Consider the following 20,524-nt stretch of genomic DNA (forward strand, 5'->3'; position numbering starts at 1 on the left):
TGAACATGAGACTTCCTCAAAGATATTATCAAGGAATGGAACTTTTGGGTTCTGAAGCATGTACCCACAGGCCCTATTCAAATGTTAGTCATAATTTTTTCTACTCTAGTTCTTAGTTCTGCTCCTCAGGCCACTGTTCGTTGTGCTGATAACTGCCTACACCTCTGAACTGCCTTCCTTCAAGCAGCCTCTTCCCTCCCCTCTGTAACTTTATCTAAAAGATGGAAGAATGCCTTCCCTTAATTTTACACACAATAAGAAAAATCAGGATCTGTCTTCTACCAAGGCTTTCCTATTGGCTTGGGAATAATTCAGACAGAGTAACTTAAAACTGCTAATATAAATTCATAGGTCCTGACCCAGACCACTATCAGGAAATCCCAGAAAGGATGTTCAATATTTAGTCACCATTTTTCATCATATGCTGAGACCAGCCTACCCCCTTCCAAAGGAAGCTTCCTTAAACTGATCCACCATACCCAGAGTTCAGCTCCAACAGTCACGAAACTCAAAGAGAAGAAAGAGCATTACGCTGTTTCCCCAGTCTAAGGGCTACTTCCAAGTAACAATTCCCTGTCCTGGGATTAACCACTTTCTAGGACAACTGCATGTGGATGAGTAACATCTTGTCCTCTGACCCCAGCAAGACAATAAATATAAGAAATCTCTAATTAATCATTAGTTTAGTTATCAATGTCTGGGCTATTTTGACTGAAATAATACTTGGCTATTATTAGCTCATATCAAATCAAATGTAGTCAATCCCAGTAGAATCCCAGTAGAATCCAAGCCTTTCAGCTGGAGGGAGATGAAGATCACCATGGTTACAAAACATTGAAAGCCTTCACTCATTTTCTTCAGTGGATAAAAGTTGTAATGAAAATACAAACACTGATGTAAGGAAAATCAATAGCATACAAGCACAATCAAGTCTTCGTAACTAGAAGCAAAGTAATGCTAGCTTCCAGTACAGTTTAGCTGGCATTAGACATCCTCCCACCATCAACAAGAGTAAAACCTAAACAAAATGGAGGAAACAACTGCTTCCTCAAGACAAGGCCTGTCAAGACGGCTGCAACACCTGAAAAACAGGAGACGTGAGGCTTGCCCACATTCAGTCTTCCTCTGTGGGTGTGCTTTCTAGGCTATGGCTCAGAGAGGTCTCACTGGTTGGAGAAGACAGAGTTTAGTTTGGGGCTACTAAAGCAGCAAAGATTCGGGGATAGGATTCCAAACAAGGAAGAACTGGAGAGAAAACAAAAAACAAGAAACAAACAAAAAATACCTCAGAAGGCTGCTGGCATTTCCTCTTTGTCTTTGAGCTTCAGAAACTTAAAATACTAGTGATTACTTAAAGAGACATTAATATTCACATGCCTTTAGGGTTTATAGTAGATGTAGAAGTGAAATGTATGAAACTATAGCAATAAAAAATTTTAAAAGGAAGATGGAGTTAAGTGTTTTAAGAATTTGCATTGGTTGGGATGTGCTGAAAATATACTTTTAAGATACTTGTAAGTTAAACTTGTATGTTATGCTTTCTTGATTAACCACTAACAGAATGATAGCCCCCAAAAAGAATTCTACATAGTCAATAGATGAGATAAATGTATATCAATAAAACACTGATTAAAACGAAAGAAGCGAAAAGGCAACATAAAAGAACAATGAGCAAACATAAAAAATAAAAAACAAATAACAAAGCGGTAGACTTAAATCCACCATATTATTTATTATACTAAATGTAAACAGACTAAGTGCAAATTTAAGACAGACATGGTTGGATTAAACAAAAAACTAAGATGCCACCATGTATTTATAGGAGACACATTTAAAACATAAGGACACAGAGCAAATGACAGTTTAAAATGGAGAAAAACGGACACAGAATATGAAAATAAAACAAGACAGTGTATTGCGATAATAATAATTCAGAAAAAAATAGACATCATGGCAAGTAACATAAAATGAGGTGAAGAGAAACACTGCTTAATAACAGAAAGGTTAATGCATTAGGAAGCAACAATAATCCTAAAAAAATATGTCTTTCATGACCTCATTTCAAAATAGATGAAGGAAAAATTGATCAAAAGAATTGAGAAATACACCATAATAGCTGGAGATTTTAACACATTTTTTCAGTAATAATAGAAGAAGCATATTAAAAAACAATTAATAATGAAACAGAAAATGAGAACATTATTGACCAAGTTGGCCTAGCTGACATTTATAGAATTCTCAACCTATATATTGCTTATGAAGCTTTTACCAGAAGAGACTATACATATTCGGTCATCAAACAAGTTTTAATAAATTCCAATGGATTATAATCATACAGTTTATGTTTCCTTGCCACGGTGGAATTGAATTAGAAACAATAACAAAAAGATAACTAAAAATCCCCAAATGTATGGAAGTTAAACAGCACACTTTTATTTTTTTATTTTTGAGATAGGGGTCTAACTCTGTCACCCAGGCTGGAGTGCAGTGGCACAATCATAGCTCACTGCTGCAGTCTCATCCTCCCAGGTTCAAGCAATCCTCCCACCTCAACCCTCCCAAGTACCTGTGACCACACAGGTGCACATCACCACGCCTGGGCATTTTTCTGTTTTTTTGTAGAGATGGGATCTGACTATTTTGCCCAGACTGGTCTTGAACTCTTGGGTTTAAGCAATCCTCCTGCATAAGCCTTCCAAAGTTCTAGAATTATGGTGTGAGCCACTATGCTTAGCCACCACACTTTTAAACAACTTACAAGTTGTAGAAAAATTCACAATTGAAATTGCAATGATTATTAAAATGAAACATAAAGTATGTGAAATGCAGATAAAGCATGGATGAGAAGGAAATTTATAGCACTAAAGGCATAGTTTAGAAAGAAAGAAATATAAAATACATGATCTAAAATTCCAGCTCAGAAGATAGAAGAGTTGGAAACAATAGTAAAAAAAAATAAGATGAGAAAATCAACAATACCAGAAGTTAGTTCTTCAAATAACTAATAAACCTCTAAGATGCTAGTCAAGAAAATAAAATTACTAGCATGAAGTATGTAAAAGAGAACATCACTAATATTCTACTTACATGAAATAGAGCATGAGAGGATATAATTTTAAATAGTCTGCCTACCAATATAAGGACTTAAATTCTTTAAATTCTTTGAAGAACATAACTTAGAACACAAAATAGAAAATTTTGATAGTTTTATATCTGTTAAATAAATTGAATCTATATGTCTTAGTTTGTTCAACTGCTATAACAAAAATACCATAGACTAGGTGGCTTAGTAACAACAGAAATCTCTCTCTTAGTTCCAAAGCTGGATAGTCTAAGATGAAAGAACTAGCAGATTCTGTGCCAAGGGGGGGCCTCTGGCCTGGCTCATACACCACCTTGCTACAGCCTCACATGGTGAAAGGAGCGAGGGATCATTCTGACCCCTCTTTTACAAGGATGCCAATCCCATTCACCAGGGCTCCATCCTCATGAGCTAAACGGCTTCCAAAGGCCCCATCTCCTAATACAATCACTTTGGGGTGATGAATTTCGGGGTTGGGGGACATAGAAACATGCAGTCTATTACATCATACATAAATTTTTTTCTGCTTTTTGTTTGTTTTTAAAGAGAAGATCTCACTCTGTCACCCAGGCTGGAAGGCAGTGGCAAGAAGATCATGGCACACTACAGCCTCAAACTCCTGAGCTCAAGAGATCTTTCCCACCTCAGCGTCCCAAGTAGCTGGGACTATAGGTGTGTACCGTGCCCTGCTAATTGTTTTAATTTCTGTAGAGAAGAGGTCTCATTAAGTTGACTAGGCTTGTCTTGAACCCTTAGTCTCAAGTGATTTTCCCTTCTTAGTCTCTTGAGGCACTGGGATTACAGGAGTGAGCCACCAACCCCAGCTTGTAAAATTCTTTTCACAAATGAAATTTCAGAACCAAAATGCTTAACTGGGCGATACTAAAAAAAATTAATTAAAAATAATAAGAAACATAGACAAATTCCTTTAGGAGATAGAAAATGTGAGAAGTCATTTCAAAGATAACCATAATATCAAAACCTCACAAAAGAATTACAAAATGGAAAATTATATATCAACAGCCTCATGAACATAAAATATAAAATCCCCCAAATATAGAACAGACAATCAGGGAAGACACACCATACACACACATACACACACATACACACCCCATAATCAAATGAGATTTAGTCCAGGAAGGTGGCAAGTTTAGTTTTACATTTGAAAATCAAATCAATTTAATTGATCATATCAACAATATGTAGGATAAAAAACATAAATTACCTCAATAAATACAGAAAATAAGCATTTGAAAAATTCAACACCCATTTATAATAAACATATCATCAAAAAGAAGTATAAGAAAACTCCCCCAATCTAATACAATACACTTTCAGAAAATAAAATAAAATGCTAATACCTTAATATTGAAACAGTGGGCTGGAAAGGATGCTATTATCCCCACCCCTACTCAACACAGTCGTATTGACTGTAACCAGCGCAATCAGACAAGAAAAAATGAAAAGGACAAAAATGGAAAAGGAAGAAGTAAAACTCTGTTTACAGACAGTATGATTATACATAGATTATAAGCCAGTATCTTCATAAATGGAATCTCAAAAATCCATCAAAAATTATTAAAGATAATCTAGCGACATATTTTTCAAATAACACACCTTGATGAAGCAAAATTTATTTAACATGGCAAAATTTTAAAAAAGGATTTATAAAAATTATTTGAATTAATAGGTGATTTTAGGGAAATTAATCCATGCAAAGTCAATATACAAATATAAATTACATTTTTCTAAAATAACAACACACAATACAAAATGAAGCTTAAAAAGCAATAGCTTTGATAAAAGCATTACATATATCTAATACCTACTGAAAAAATCCAAGGCAAGATGTGAAACATCTCTATACAAAAAATATAATACAGTGCTGAGAAAAATTTTCGAAGCACAAATAAGAGGAGAGATAGTCTCTGTTTGTGGATTAAAAACTCAATGTTTTAAGATGTAAATTCTGCCCAAGTTGACCGAAACCTGCAATGTAATTCCAAACAGATTTCCAGCAGATTTTTTCCGTAAGGGTTAATAAGATTTGATGCTAAAATTCACATGGAAATGCAAAGAATGTGGAATGACCAAGAAAATCTTGAACTAGAAACACAATATCAGAAAACATGCACCACTAGAGCTAATGATTTACTAAAAACTATTCTAATAAAGACAATGTGACATTGGTAGAAAAGGTACATAAGCAGGCCAATGGAAAAAATAGAATAAAGAAATAGACACACGTGTATTGTCACTTGATTTATGACAAGAGCACCATACAATTCCATGGAGAGAGACTGGCCTTTTCTGTAAATGGCGCTCTAGAAACTGAATGGTCTTTCTAAAATAAGAAGTGAACCTGGATTCCTACCCAATACATATTTTAAAAATAATTAGAGGTGAATCATTATCTAAATATGAAGTTGACATGTGCAGACTTCTAGAGGAAAGCTTCAGAGAATATCTTCATGAACTTGGGGTGAATAGAGTGTTCTTGAAGAATATAAAAGTGCATTAGCCATCAAAGGAAAAAAATGACAAGACTTCATTAAAATTAAGAATTTCTGTTCATCAAAAGATGCCATTAGGATAAATGATAGGCAACACAATGGAGAAAATGTCATAATTCTTATATTTGAGAAGGAATACATATCTAGAACACATAAATATCACCTACCAATGAAAACAAAAAAGATAATTCACTTTTTAAATTGCCAAAACATTGGACAGTTGCTTCATAAAAGAAGATATCCATATAACCAACTCACATAAAAAGGTGCTTGGCAGGTAAATGCAAATTAAAAACAGAGGGAGCTATTAAAGCAAATGCACCAGAATGCCTAAAAAGACCAAAAAGATCAAGTGTTGGCAAGGTTGTTGGCAACTGGGACTCTCAGACATTGCTGGCAGGAGTGTAAATTGATTGAAGAACTTTGAGAAACTGCTTGGCAGGCTCTACAAAGGTGAACCGTATGTCCACGTAAGGACCCAGCAATTCCACCTTAGGGATACAGGCTAGAAAAATGAGTGTATATGAACACTGAAAGACGTACACAAGAATGCTCCTAGTGGCTTTATTCAGGCACAAAAGAATGCCTTCTTAAAATACATGACGTTTGGAACAGGCAAAACTGTTCCAGGGTGATAGAAATAAGCAATTAACATTGAGAGTGATGGAAATGCTTCTTAACATAATCTGGTGTGTGTGTGTGTGTGTTTGCGTGTGTGTGTGTGTTTGTGTCTGTGTGAATTCATAGAACTATACACTCAATATTTGTACATATTTTGTATTTTAATTATATCTCAATGTTAAAATAAGAAACAAAGTGTTTCCTCCTCCATTAATGTATTTGTAAAATCTTCAGTCCTTTCTGCCTATTCCACATACAATTCTTGTCCTAATTATGGTTCCTATGAATTACTGGTGCATTTCTTCCATTGTTATTGTTTCTTTTATTTTAGTGGTAGTTGTTTCTTTGTTTCAGCATCCTAACAATGATCTCCATATCATTTACTTTTACTTTTTTGGTCATTTTTCTTCACCATTCCTTTTCAATTATAAGACCTTTGGATTAGATATGCATCTCTCTTATAAACACATTCTTTATAGTTCTCCTAAGCTTAAAACCATCATTCCAAGGTCCTAAAATCTGACTCACAAAATGAAATGTGAATTCCCATCATTTCCTAGAGTTTGAATGCACGTGAGTTGAAATACTAGAATCTGCACTTTCAGACACCAGACACAGATCTCCAAACCCAAAAACATGAAAAAAATGGGGGACGTTACTCAAATGATCTGGAGTAGGAAAAGACTGAAGTAATCACAAATTAATTAATCTCTTCTATGTAAATATACTCTTAAATACATATTGCCTCTGATGCAGCAGAGAGCAGGAACTTTCTCTGGGCAAGCACAGAATACTTCACTGATATTCCTATTAGTAATATCCCAGGCATGCTGTTGTAAAGTGCCCAAAAAAAAAAAAAATACAAAACTTACATGATGGTTACCTGAAAATCTTGTCTTTCAAGTGCACATGTAAACTAAAATAACCTACCAAGACATTTCTCAGTTTGACTGAGGGGGGAAAAACAGCATTCTTCCCAAGTCCTTTGAAATTGTGGCTCAAAGCCAACACCTCAAACTGAGCCTAATGTTACAAAAATCTATAAGCCATTAACTCTAGCCGTATTAAATATATAAAAATCAATTCTAATGCCCTGTTCTTCCAAAGTCCCAACCCTCAATTGGAAATATATAAGAAAATACTGCCTGCTCCCCAGTTGCCCTTCAGCTTTTTATCTGATTTATTCTGGAAGCATCAGTTGTGCCCACCTGTATCAGGAAAATAGAAAAATAAGAAAGCAGTCAGCAAGTCTGAGGGTCCTTGGTACCCCCACTGGCCAGCTCTTCATCCAGAAGGCAAGCCCAGCTCTCGGTGGTCACACCATAGCCCTGGATCCACAGCCCTGGGGGAAATCACCTGCTGTCCTGGGTATTTCTTTCCACTGGTTCAATAATAGACTCTGATACTTTATCTAGTTCTTATGTTCCTGTTTATCATCTATGAAATGGAGGATGTTTACCTTCCTTTGGAAGTTCCTGATTAACCAACATTAAGAACAGCATAGTCGAAGGAAACTTTCTTACCTCCTCTTTTAATAGGTATCTGCTTCTGCCTGGCAGATTTTTTTTATTCCAGTATTAATGTGCTACCATATCCTCAACTGTATACTTTTGTTGCTGGTTCTTTCTGTTTCTAGTTCTTATTCTATTTATAAAAACTGGAATACAAAATCCTCCAGTGCTTTCTTGGTCTACTTTTCTGTTTAGAAATTTAAATTTCTAAACAAATAGCAATTTAGCCACATCTTGTAATGTTTAATGTGCACAGCTTTTATCATCATTAGGTTACAGGTATTTTCTAATTACATACATGGTATTTTTTACCATAAATGAATGAGAACGTGGTAGTTTTGTTTGTGTGTGTCTCGCAAACTATGAGATCTTTTGAATCTGTTCGTAAATTGTTTCTATAATCCATTTTGGTTCCAGAACGTGTTCTTTCAGTATTGATTCTTGGAGTTTATCGGGTCTTCATTGCGACTTAGTAGATATTCGATCTTTGTAAATGTCCTTTGTGTTGTGAAATTGTTTGTGCAGTCATCGTTTGTGCAAGGATTGTGGTTTTTCAGAAGCAATATAGGAAAATGATTAAGACACAGACTCTAAATCATAACTCCCACATTCACCAGCTCTGTGATCTTGGACTAATTACTTTAACCTCTCTGAGATTCCATTAGCATATCGGTTAAATGCCTAGTGAATATTAGATGTTATATAAGTATTAGCTATTATAATACAAATCCATGGAATCTAGCTAATTGAATCATTCAAATATTATTTATTCTTATTAAGATTTTTTGTTTTACTCACCAATTACTGAGAAAAGAGATTTAAAATCACTCTTTATGATATTACATTGGTCTTGCTTCTCCTAAAAGCAAGCTCCAAGACAAAGATTTAGGTAGGAGTGGCTTCTTTGGGAGATGATCCCAGGGAACTTTATGAGGAAGTAAAGAAGTAGGCTAGATAAGGGAAGACAACCCACTAATCTGTATTAACTAATAAAGTCACATTAATTAATATTGCCATGTGGCTTAATTCCACTGAGAACTGAATGATGACTCCTGAGATATTAATGCCCTAGTATTTGAAACTGGTGAATGTTACCTTAGATAGCAAAAAAAAAAAAATTTTGCAGATGTGAAATTAAGGATTTTGAGAGGAGACTATCCTGCATTATTCAGGTGGGGCCAATGTATTCTTCAGAGGCGAAAAGCAAAGCGTGGTTTGATACAGACAGAAGGGAAGAGACAGAGTCACAGTGAAAGCAGTGAGCCTTGATCGTGCTATTGCACTCTAGCCTGGGTGACAGAGAGAGACCCTAACTCAAAAAAAAAAAAAAAAAAAAAGGCTTAAAAATTTTTGAAGCAAAAATCCCCCATCAGAGAAATCAACTATTTCTTTGTGAGGCCTCTAGTCCCAGGAAATAAAGGGGAAAAAATCACAAACATGACTGAGAAAATTGTAGCCAAGAAAGATCCTTAAGTTTATACACAAAGTCAAATCCACTGTGTCTGGACTAAGCCAAACATCAGTTGGTAGAGGGAACAATTCAAAAACAGAAAATAAAATAGAATTCTGTACTTTAAGAATAGTTTAACAAGACAACTTAAGATAGTTTAAAGCACACAGTAAAGCTGTTTTAGTTGATCTACTCTCAAGGTATAAAATGCTATTTTATAATTAGCTAAAATTCAATATTTTGCCTTTTTTAAACTTTACCACATTTTTCCTAAGGGCAAATCTTTTATTAAATTATTATTTATGGCCAAGTGCAGTGGCTCACGCCTGTAATTCCAGCACTTTGGGAGGCCAAGGTGGGTGAAACACCTGAGGTCAGGAGTTCGAGACCAGCCTGGCCAACATGGTGAAACCCCATCTCTACTAGAAATACAAAAATTCACCAGGTGTGGTGATGTGTGCCTGTAGTCCCAGCTACTCGGGAGGCTGAGGCACGAGAATTGCTTGAACCTGGGGGGAGGAGTCTGCAGTGAGCCAAGATAGTGCCACTGCACTCCAGCCTGGGTGACAGAGCGAGACTCTATCTCAAAAAAAAAAAACCTTATTTTCATTAGAGACTACTCAGCGATAGCTGTGTTCTTTCATAAGACAAAATAATTATCAGCTGAGAACATTATGTATGTGAAAGCTGGAGGGTATTTGTGTTCCCTCATAATTCATATGTTGCTACCATATCTCCAGTGTGAGGGTATTTGACAGTGGGGCCTTTGGAACATGATTAGGTCATAATGGTGCAGCCCTCCCAAATAGTATTAGTGCCCTTATCAAAAAACACCCCAGAGTGCCCCCTCACCCCTTTTGCCATGTGAGGACATAGAGAAAAGATGACCAACTCTGAACTAGAGAGTAGGTCCTCACCAGACACAAAATCTGTTAGCACCTCGAACTTGGACTTCCAGCCTCTAGAACTGTGAGAAATAGATTTCATTTGTTTATAAGCCCCCCAGTTTTGTTATTAAAACCCAAACTGATTAAGACAGATTGTGAAGACAGACTGCCTGGGTTTGAATTTACCATTGAACCATTTTGCGACAGTGAACCAATGATTTAAATTCAATCACCCTCAGTTTCTTCATCTATACAATACAGATCATAATAGGACTGCATGCATAGGATCGTTGTGAGGATTCAACAAGGTAATTAGTGTATAAAGTTTAACACAGCTCCTGGCACAGACTTTACTAAGTGCATTCTATTTTTATTCAGTTTATTTATTTTACACATTTCAGGAGCCAATGGTCTAACAGCAAAGCAAGAGTTTAACTCATATAAAGCAGGAAGTGGTAAGAGCTGTAAAGGTATTATAGACAATTTGCAATGGGAATTTGATGGACAAAGAAATGTTCTCCTCTGGATGAGACAAGAAGAAAACCTAGGAAGATGAATGAAGAAGTGGCATTTAAGATGGACTTTGAAGGACAGGTTGGATCGGAAGTGGCAGGAAAATCACCAGCAAGGGTCTGGGCACCTGTGTCATCCATGGCTCAGTGGGAAGATGGAATTGACTTGCACATGATACTAACAGCTGGAGTTGGAAAGGCCCACCACAGAGATAATGTGAAGCCCAAGCCATATAGATGGTGCTATGTACATTCATATTACCAACACTACACATTTGCATAAACCTGAATACTTTTCATTTCCTTATCACCATGGATAAATTACCCACCTATTGTTGACTGGAATTATAATAATGACTTATCCTTAGCATATTCACATATTCCAGGCATCTCAGTTTACTTTATTAACGTCCATAACACCCTTGTCAGGCAGACTGGACAAGGTGGACAAGCACCATCCCCCTCTAAGACAAAGTCAACTGAGGCCCAAGATGGATGCCCAAGGTCAACTCTCCAGAAGACCACAAGTCGACTACTTCTGACACCTTGTCAACTGTGCCAAGCAATGCCACAGTCCTGTCTCTAGGAGCTGAGCCTCAGTCTCCCTAACTGAGTTACTATGAACTCAAGCCAAAATTCTCCCAAAGAGTCAAATGCGTGGCTTGCACTCTGAGAAAAGTAACACAAATGTGACAGAATTCACTCCAACGTGCTGGGAGATGTTACATCTGAAACCACGGGTTCTCCCAAGGTCTTTATTGGCATTAACGAGATTTGAAAATAAGAAATAGCTGTTTAGCAGGTTTTGTGTGGAGATAACACGAGCCAAGTAAAAATAAAAAATTAAGTAAAGGTTCCATTTTTCCTTCCTGGACAAAACCTTAGAATTAGTCTGCACTTACTTTGTTCTAATAACATAAAATCTTGTTTGTTCTAATACAGATACACAGAAAGTTAAATGGAAAATTATAAATAAACTTTCAAGTTGTTCATCTAAGTTATGAGATAAAAGAATGTGGCTACATCCAGTGTCTTCAAGCTAAAAATGATATGCAAATTACAGTACTTTTTGGAGCACTAAACCCAAAGCAGTTATAAAGATAAACAGTGTTAAAGCTAAAGTCCACACTGCAGGCAAACTCAAAGGATCATCTCAAAGCCAGAGCGTGTAAACCCTGAACCTCAGCCAGCTTTAGCCCCTTACCCGTAAGTAACATCTAACCCCTATAAGGTTTAAAAATACATACAATAAAAATGTCTGAGGCTATAGGTATTGCTATGGTTCATATTGTTTGGGATGTAAATAGTCCTTGCCGATATTAATGAAGGAGTACTCAGTGACCTATCTGAGAAGGTACTGTCACTCACCTTCATTAAGCCACAGATTTCTCCTTCATTCCTGGTGTTGACATCAGTTTTGTCTTGACCTGCGCACAAACCTGAGCCACGTTGCCCAGGAGGTGGAAGTCAGCTTTTCAACTTTAGGTGCATCATCTGTCAAAGAAAAACATAGTTTTTTGTGTTTTTTTGTTTTTTTGTCCCCCACCCCAGCTAGAAGCTAAGTGACTCATTCAGGGATCTCCGCCTCGTTAGCACTGTGATTCAGCCAAGGGAGCAGAACGTCTCTGACCATATGTTCACAGGCTGCAAACAAAAAGCAGAGAAATTTCTGGAACTCCTCTGTTCTCATTTATTGCTTTCAGCTTGGGCTTTAAACCACTCAAGAGATGGGTTCTTGTCAATATTTTCATTACTCAGGCAAAGGCATTGGCCCAATCTCTCTTTTTGACAAGATAGGAAAGTGCTGTCGGTGTTGTCCATGTCCTCCTCTCCTCCCGTTTTAGCTTAAGTCTGGGAGAGATATCAAGGGCTGCCTTACATATGGAGAGTTTGTAGTGGACCAAACTGGCAGGCACCCTTGCAGTATCTGTGTCATTCGCACATCTTCTGTAATCTCCTCCCTTTTGTCCATATGGGACAGGGACTGTGGAACTATGGGCATTTATTGAGTGCTGACTGTATTCCTGGCCCTGTGCTGGGGGGGTTAAATTATTGTGTTTCATCTTCAGTTAATGATCTGTACATTATTTCTACTTTCCCAATAAGAAAGCAGTCTCAGAGTATTGCCAAAAGCCACACTTAGTAAGTTTCAAGGGTGGCATTTGAAAGTAGTTATTTCTAACTCCATGAATGATGAAAGTGAAAGACAAAAAATTAGAACACAGGCTTTTAGGGTCTTCTCAGGGAGGCATATTGGCTCCAACCACTGAGTTACATTTCACTGGAGCCCTGGGAAGCTAAAAGAGCCAGGGTGGGTCCAAGAGGGAGCTTGAAGCTAGAAATTCTATCTGGCACTAAACTCTAAAATCTAGAAATGTGAACTAAAGCCCTTTAGCATTCTACCCAGATTCTTCCATTTAGTTTATCAGATCATAACATCAGAGAAGAATATCAAAGATGGTATGTCATAGGACAATAAGCATGTGTTTGGTGGGAGGGTCCCTATATAGCAACTTTGGAAAATTGGGCATATCTGAGCGAGACAGATGATGATATTGAGAGAGAGAAAAATAAATGTAAACATTCAAGATAGTCTTACTTGGACCTAAGAACCTTCCCAATACATAGAATTTCCATTTCCAATTATACAGAACAATGTACAGCAAGTGAAAGCTATAGCTTAGAACAAGTAGAAAGAAGAGTTGGGAGAGTTACAACAGAAAGTGTGGTGTTAAAGGCATCAGAGAGCTTCAGAATAAACAGGGACTACAGAGGCATCAAGTCCAGAGAGGGAAGAAATGTTCAAAGGTGAGCTGAGAATTTGCAGAACATTTCCCTGAAGCCATTTGCCAAACCATTAAGAATTTGGCTTTAGTTTAGGCAGAAGCCACAGCTGGAGGCAGAAAACAAACAGTGGAGATTCTGCTGCTTACCTGGGGCTAGGATGTCAAAACTGGAGACCAGGAGTGTCAACAGAGCCAGGCTTCCCTCAAGATGTTTGCCAACTTCTGAAGCAGTGCAAAGCAGGAGGCTAGGGAGTAAGTTTGAAAACAAGGCTGTAGAGTAGTACAGAGAGGAAAAATTTTCATAGTCTCTTTGTCTTGAGGAGACAAAGCCCCTCGAGACTCACAATGGAAATGTCACCAAGGCCCTTTTCCTAGGAACACACATGAAGCTCAGGAACAATGAACATTAGCAAAGCACAACCAGCCATGTCCTTTACTGGGTCGTGGAGATCAGCCCCCACTCCCTCTACCTAGCAGAAGAAAGGAGATAAAATCATATGTATTCTCCACTGCTCTTTCATACATGATGTCTAACATTCAAAAAAAAAATCTATACGTGTGAATCGATAGAACCCTAGGGACAATAATCAAGAGAAAAATACAGAAAACAAAAGCAGACCCACAGAGATAACAATATTGGAATTGGTAGACAAGGATTTAAAAATATGTATGACTTATATGTTCAAAAACCAGAAAAAAAATACAGAAGAGACTAAAAGACGAAGATTTTGATGAAATTGTAATCTACGATATGAAGAATCAATACACATTCTATACCTGAAAAATATTTTTAATAATATTTAAAACTACAGCCTCAATGGATGGGCAAATTGGGCACAAAAGAAAATAGAAGTAGTACCAGAAGACATGAGAGATAGAACAACAACAAAACAAAATCAAATGACAGGTGAAAATAAAGGAGAACAGAAAATTTTGAGGATAAAAATAGCTCCATAAAGAATAGAGAAATGGAGGTTATGAAATTATCTAAAAATGATATGCAAAAAGTTTCCTAAACTGAATGATATGACTTTCCAAGTTGAAATTCCTGAGTACCCAGCACAAGTTAAAATTTAAAGACTCACAATAAAGCATGTCATTGTGAAGGTTTAAAATGCAGAGATAAAAGATCATGAATAGTAAAAGCTTCCAGAAAGAGAATACAAGACCACGAAAACAAGGGAAATCAAAATTCTCAACAGCAGGAAAAGGAGCAGAAAAACAGTAAAGAAACATCTTAAACCAGGGGTCCACGACCCCCAGGGGGTGTGGTGGACCCCTACCAGTCCGTGGCCTGCTAGGAACCGGGCCGCACAACAGGAGGTGATGGGGGGCAGGGTGAGCAAATATTACTGCCTGAGCTCCGCCTCCTGTCAGATCAGCAGCATCATTAGATTCTCATAGGAGCGCGGACCCTATTGTGAACTGTGCATGCGAGGGTTCTAGGTTGCACGTTCTTTATGAGAATCGAATGCCCCCCGACCCTGTCTGTGGGAAAATTGTCTTCCATGAAACCAGTCCCCGGTGCCCAAAAGTTTGGGAACCTCTGCCTTTAAATTGTTTAAATTGTATATTCAGCTAGACCTTCCATCAAGAGTAAGGGTATAACTTTTTAAATGTTGACATGCAATATTTTACCTTCCTTGCACCTTTCCCAAAGAAGTTACTTGAGCATTTGCTTCAAAAAATGAAGTAGTAAACCTGGAAAAAAGGACCTAAGAAATAAGAACCAGAATGAATTCTACAAAGAAGGCAGTCCCACAGAACACCTGCCCTAGAGGGCAACAGAAATCTCTAGGAAAGTGGTCTTTTGCATACATGCGGCCAACAAGCATATGAAAACAAGCTCAAAATTACTGATCATTAGACAAATGCAAATCAAAACCACAATGAGATACCATCTGACACCACCCAGAATGGTTATTAATAAAAAGCAAAAAAAAAAAAAAAAAAAAAAAAAAAAAAAAAAAAACCAGATGCTGATGGGGTTGTGAAGAAAGTGGAATGCTTAAACATTTGTTGGACAAATAAGTAACATTTGCATTTTGTTTGTGTTTAGAGTTACAACATCCAGGAAATTGGGAGGACTTAAGTTTCAACTAAATTATAGGTGGTTGACCTTGATGTATCTAAACAGTAACTACCATTTTTATTTATTTTTTTAGCAATGGGAACATAGGAAACTATAGCAAATTGAGGTAACAATTTACTATAGGAAAAAAAAAAGGTCAGGAGCCCATTACTTTGTTCAGCCATGAACATATGTAAAATACTGGCTGTTATTTCAAAAAAATGCAATACAGGCATATTAAAAGCACAAGAAAAGAAAAATTGTGAGAAAGATATAAAAGGGAGTTAAATTTTCATCATAGAAGGAAACCAATAAATAATGCCTAAATGAATATATTTTTAAAGCAGTATAATACTTAGAAGTAAAGACCTAATTAACTACAGAGCAAAAGTAACTGAAATCTATTATCCAGATGGGGATGAGGGAGGTATAGTGTAAACAATTGCCAGTTTTTATTATATGATTTTAATACTGTTAGCTCTTCAACTATGCCAACATCTAAACTTAATAAAAAAGAATAAGAATTGGCAGTTTGTCATGAAATAATTTTATAATGACTCTCATTTAGAATTATCAAAATAAATTTTCATTCCCAAAGAAGTAAACTTCATTGTGCAAAAAATTGTGTTCATGTAGAAGAGCTAAAATGAATTTTAATACAGATGGTGTGTAATGTGTGCATTCACACAGCATCTGAGAATTGATCTAGCTCTTGGCTCTCAATGGTAATAATGCATACCCAGCAATTTCTGGAAAATACTTACTTGCAAACCCAACGAACAATTCAAGACACAAATTATTACTAAGAAATGCTAGTTTTGTAAATTGCACCAAATAACAATCATATATTGAAGGCTTTAATATAATGATACAATGATGTTTCCACAAACTTTTATATATTTGCTCCATAAATATCATTAAGCACATACTAATTACCAGGCACTTGCAAAATACTTAGAGTACAAAGATTAAGTTAAAAACTAGGTCTTGTCCTCAGTAACACTATAAAAACTCGAATTGTCTCTGACAGTTTCCATTATCACAAAAAAACAAATATTTTCTATCTCCTTATGCTGGAATTAACTTACAACTTAACCCAAAGCCAAGCGTATTAGTCTGTTCTCACACTGGTATAAAGAAATACCCGAGACTGCATAATTTATAAAGAAATGAGGTTTAATTAGCTCACGGTTCCTTAGGCTCTATAGGAAGTAAGGCTGGGTAAGGCCTCAGGAAACTTAAATCACGGTGAAGGCCACGGGGAAGGAGGTACGTCTTCCATGGCCAGAGCAGGAGGAAGAGAGAGGAGGGGGAGGTGCTACACACTTTTAAGCAACCAGGTCTCAAAATAAGTCACTCACTCTCAGGAGAACAGCAAGGTGGAAATCTGCCCCCATGATGCACTCACTTCCCACTAGGCTCCTCTTCCAACATTGGGTATTACAGCTGGACGTGAGATTTGGGCGGGGACACAAATCCAAACCATATCACCAAGTCAACATAGATAGCTATGTTCTTCACAGTAAATCTCTTGAGGATATGTTGTGTGATGGTTGCAGTAGTACCAGTAAAATTCTCAAACAACACCAACCACCATCTAGAATTCCTAAAGGGACAATGACATGAAGTCAATAATGAAATAGCGAAGTCGCTTTGTTAAATGGAAAACAAATGGATTGCCCCAGCTGAAATAGAAAATATCAGTCCTTTTAACAACCATAAAATCACCATTGTTTCTCCACTCTGAAAACATTTGTAGGTACAGACTGAAACCAATTCCTTTCTTCTAGAGTCAGGTGACAAAAGGCCACCTAAATAACTTCTTGGTCACTGTACATGTAACTTTGTAGAAATAAGGCTATTTTCCATAAGGCACATGTGGAAATCAGTTGAATATCTCATAGTTATACACATACTTATGGTCGTCTTTCTTTAAAAAAAAGAAAGGAAAAAAGAAACAAATCTAACAATAACCTTAAAAAGTGACAATAAATTCACTCAAGTCAGTCTCTATATAACATACTATTATCAATGGTGTCCTTTCATTTTGATATAGGAAGACAAAAAGGGAGAAAAACAAACAAGTACCTTATTTCATGTCATTCAAGATAATTTTGACTTTTAATGCCTTTCTGCAAAAGAATGAATGATACGACTGGGGTAGTCCATTGGTTACAAGTCACTTTGGTGTATTACCAAGAAAAGGAAAAGACGGGTTAATAAAATCTCATTTGGGCTAGTCCTTTTTTCTCCTTTCAGGAAAATAAAGCTGAATCTTATATTTAATAATAGCTTGACCTTTAAACTTACAAAGAGAAACAACCAATGAAATCTTCCCTCATAGACTAACGAGAGTTTGTAGAAAAAAGCACAGAGCAATGCCCCAAGGAAATCATCAATGAACAAGAATCAATCTGCATCAGGACCTACTGACTTGATTCTCGAGCATTTAAGATCCCAGGATGATGAGGTTCTGAAGTAAAAAGGCTCAATTTGACTGGGGGAAAAAAAAGCCTTATTTTCTGCATCAGTTTACAATTTATTCACTTCAGGAGATAATATTGCAAAGTGGTTAAGAGCTTTTGGAATTAGACGGCCTGGGTTTGAGTCCAGATTTTGCTTTTCTGCCCTGTTAGATACCTTACTTAACCTCTCTAAAATTTAGTTTATGAGGGATAATAAAGATCTGTCACATAGATTCATATGAGAATTATATGACTATATATATATAGCTTCAATAAATGTCAGAGAATAATATGCATATTATAATTATCACCATCATTGTATAACTTATTCATATGTTCTTATATTTTAAATCTATAAGCTTGTAATTACATTTTCTTTATGTTAGCAAAGTCGTGTGCTTTCTCTTTTTTAAACAGATTTGAAAAATATCATTTATTTATTCAACAGTATTCATCTATTTTGTTGGCCCTTTCAAGGTGTGAGTTATTTTCCTGGGTGTGTTTGGTCAAAATGGAGTGAGATTAATATTTTGTTTTCTAGTTTACTAAGTTTTGCACTATATTCATTGATCTCTTCTATCTAATTTTTGTTTATTGTGTTGTATTTTGTAAATATATTTTTTAGCTGAATGCTGACTGTTTAATTGATTTACAGGAATTGCTGTATTAACACATACAAGGAATCTTTCTTACATTTTTTAGAATAAAATGTTAGAAGACATTATACCCATTTTTTCTAACTATTGTACTATTTTTCACAATGACACAGGAAAAAAAATCTCAACTCTTTCCACCCTTGGTCAGATGTCATAAACGCCCCTGGTCATAAGCAGCCCTGGTGAGACATCCTGGGCCTCTGTCACATGTAAATAATAAAAAATGTGTGTGGAGGCACAATGCAAAAAGACAGCCATTCTCAACTCAGGATGCACAATAGAATCACTTACGGTGCTTTTAGATTATAGGACACTTCAGCTCCACTCTTGTTCCAATTTGATTGGACTTGGCAAGGGGGCCTGTTATCAGAATTCTTTACATTCCCTTGTTGTTTATTTCAAATTCCATAAGGCAGGCTCTACAGGGAGGCTGAGGGTGCGTCTGAGCCACTCCTCCCTTACCTTCCTGACTGGCCTCTTGTAGGTCTACAGTTGCTACCTTCACTACCAGAACTATCCTGAGGTTCCTGTGAAAAAGTCCACCGACAGGGATGGCCTCTCTTTTCCCAATATGTGCTGCAGCTGCCTCAGTTGGTTGAGTTTTTTCCTGTTTCTTCCCCTCAGTCCAAATTCTGATTCCAGTTCTAATTCCGGGGTTAAGCATTATAGTGAATTTATTTTTAATTTCCAAAATATTAAGAATGTGGAGAAGGGGAAGTCATAAATTATTCTGTCATCTAGAATCACAATTCTAATGTTTCTAAGTTTTTTTAAGTATTAAACTTACATACTCATAAAGATATTTGCACCAAAATTTATAACCCAGAATCCTACCAAGATTATTTCCATAACTTCCAGCAAGTTATTCCTTTCAAAATTATAATGTCTATTTATTCCACTTAGATTTGTATAGATAATAGGAAAGCTGGAGCTAAGTGATATTGTTGGCATTCTACTTTGTATAGAGAAACTTTAAGTGTCTGCTCTGTCATCTTTTCCTCACCTCCTGACAAATAACTAAAAGAACAAAAGCAAGCGTACTGCAGGACGACCTCTTGAAACTTCCCATCCAGGCACTAGGTTCCCTGCCAGGTAACTTCTGAAGCTTCTTTTACCTCCCTTCTCGTGGGCCTAGGGGAACTAGTGGATCATTATTGAGTTAACATTTTGTTAATTTGTTGAATAACGATATTAAGAAGAACTACAAATAAAATTAATATGATGCATTACTATTACAATCTTGGGAGAAGTAAAAACATACTGACCATGCAGGCAAAATTGGACCATATTAAAATTAAGAAGTTCTATCAAAAGATGCCTTCAGATGAATGAAAAAATAAAGCCAACATTGGGTGAAGATATTTACAAAACATACATTTGTCAAAAGATGTATATTCATGGTTTATAAAGACTTCTACAAATCAATAGAAAAAGCAAACAATCCAATAGAAAATGGGGAAAATATGTGAATGAACAATTCACAAAATAAGATATAAATTCCCAACAAACGTAAAATAAATTGCTTAATTTTATTTGTTATCAGGAAAATGAAAATTAAAACCACGATGTGATATCACTACATACTTACCTAACTGATAAAAAGATGAACAAAATCAACTGTTGTTAAATCTCATACATTGACTGAAAGAAACATAAGGTGTTAGAATCTCTTTGGTAAGTTGTACGGCAGTATCAATGAAAGCTAAATATATATGTGTCCTGTGACCCAGCAATTATATTCCTCAGTATATAGAAATAGATACATATGTGCTCTAAAACAAGTATATGAGAGTAATCATATCAGTACTATATGTTATAATTCAAAACTGGAAATAATCCAATGTTCATCAACAATAAAATAGACAAATACATTTTGGTATATTTTCAACTTTGTGCTTTACAGAAAAAGTTTGCCAATCCCTGTTACATTGCAATAAATATGGGTAAATAACAACTATGAAAATGTA

General features: G+C 36.2%; 1 long non-coding RNA gene across 6 annotated transcripts in view; it reads right to left on the reverse strand.

Moving 5' to 3' along the window:
- The window catches only part of LOC105377795 (uncharacterized), a 145,951-nt gene extending 131,214 nt beyond the window's left edge, over positions 1-14,737 (reverse strand). For 4 of the 6 annotated variants that reach the window (XR_941375.2, XR_941374.2, XR_001745765.1 and 1 more), the window contains exons 1-3: positions 14,649-14,731; positions 13,513-13,610; positions 11,948-12,073 (exon numbers count right to left, since the gene is read on the reverse strand). This is a non-coding gene — a long non-coding RNA (uncharacterized LOC105377795). The other 2 variants (XR_001745766.1, XR_001745767.1) reach the window with 2 other exon arrangements.
- Positions 14,738-20,524: the final 5,787 nt, after the last annotated feature.

The sequence above is a fragment of the Homo sapiens genome, chromosome 8 (genome assembly GCF_000001405.40).
Source record: "Homo sapiens chromosome 8, GRCh38.p14 Primary Assembly".
In the NCBI taxonomy this organism is placed as follows: Eukaryota; Metazoa; Chordata; class Mammalia; order Primates; family Hominidae; genus Homo; species Homo sapiens.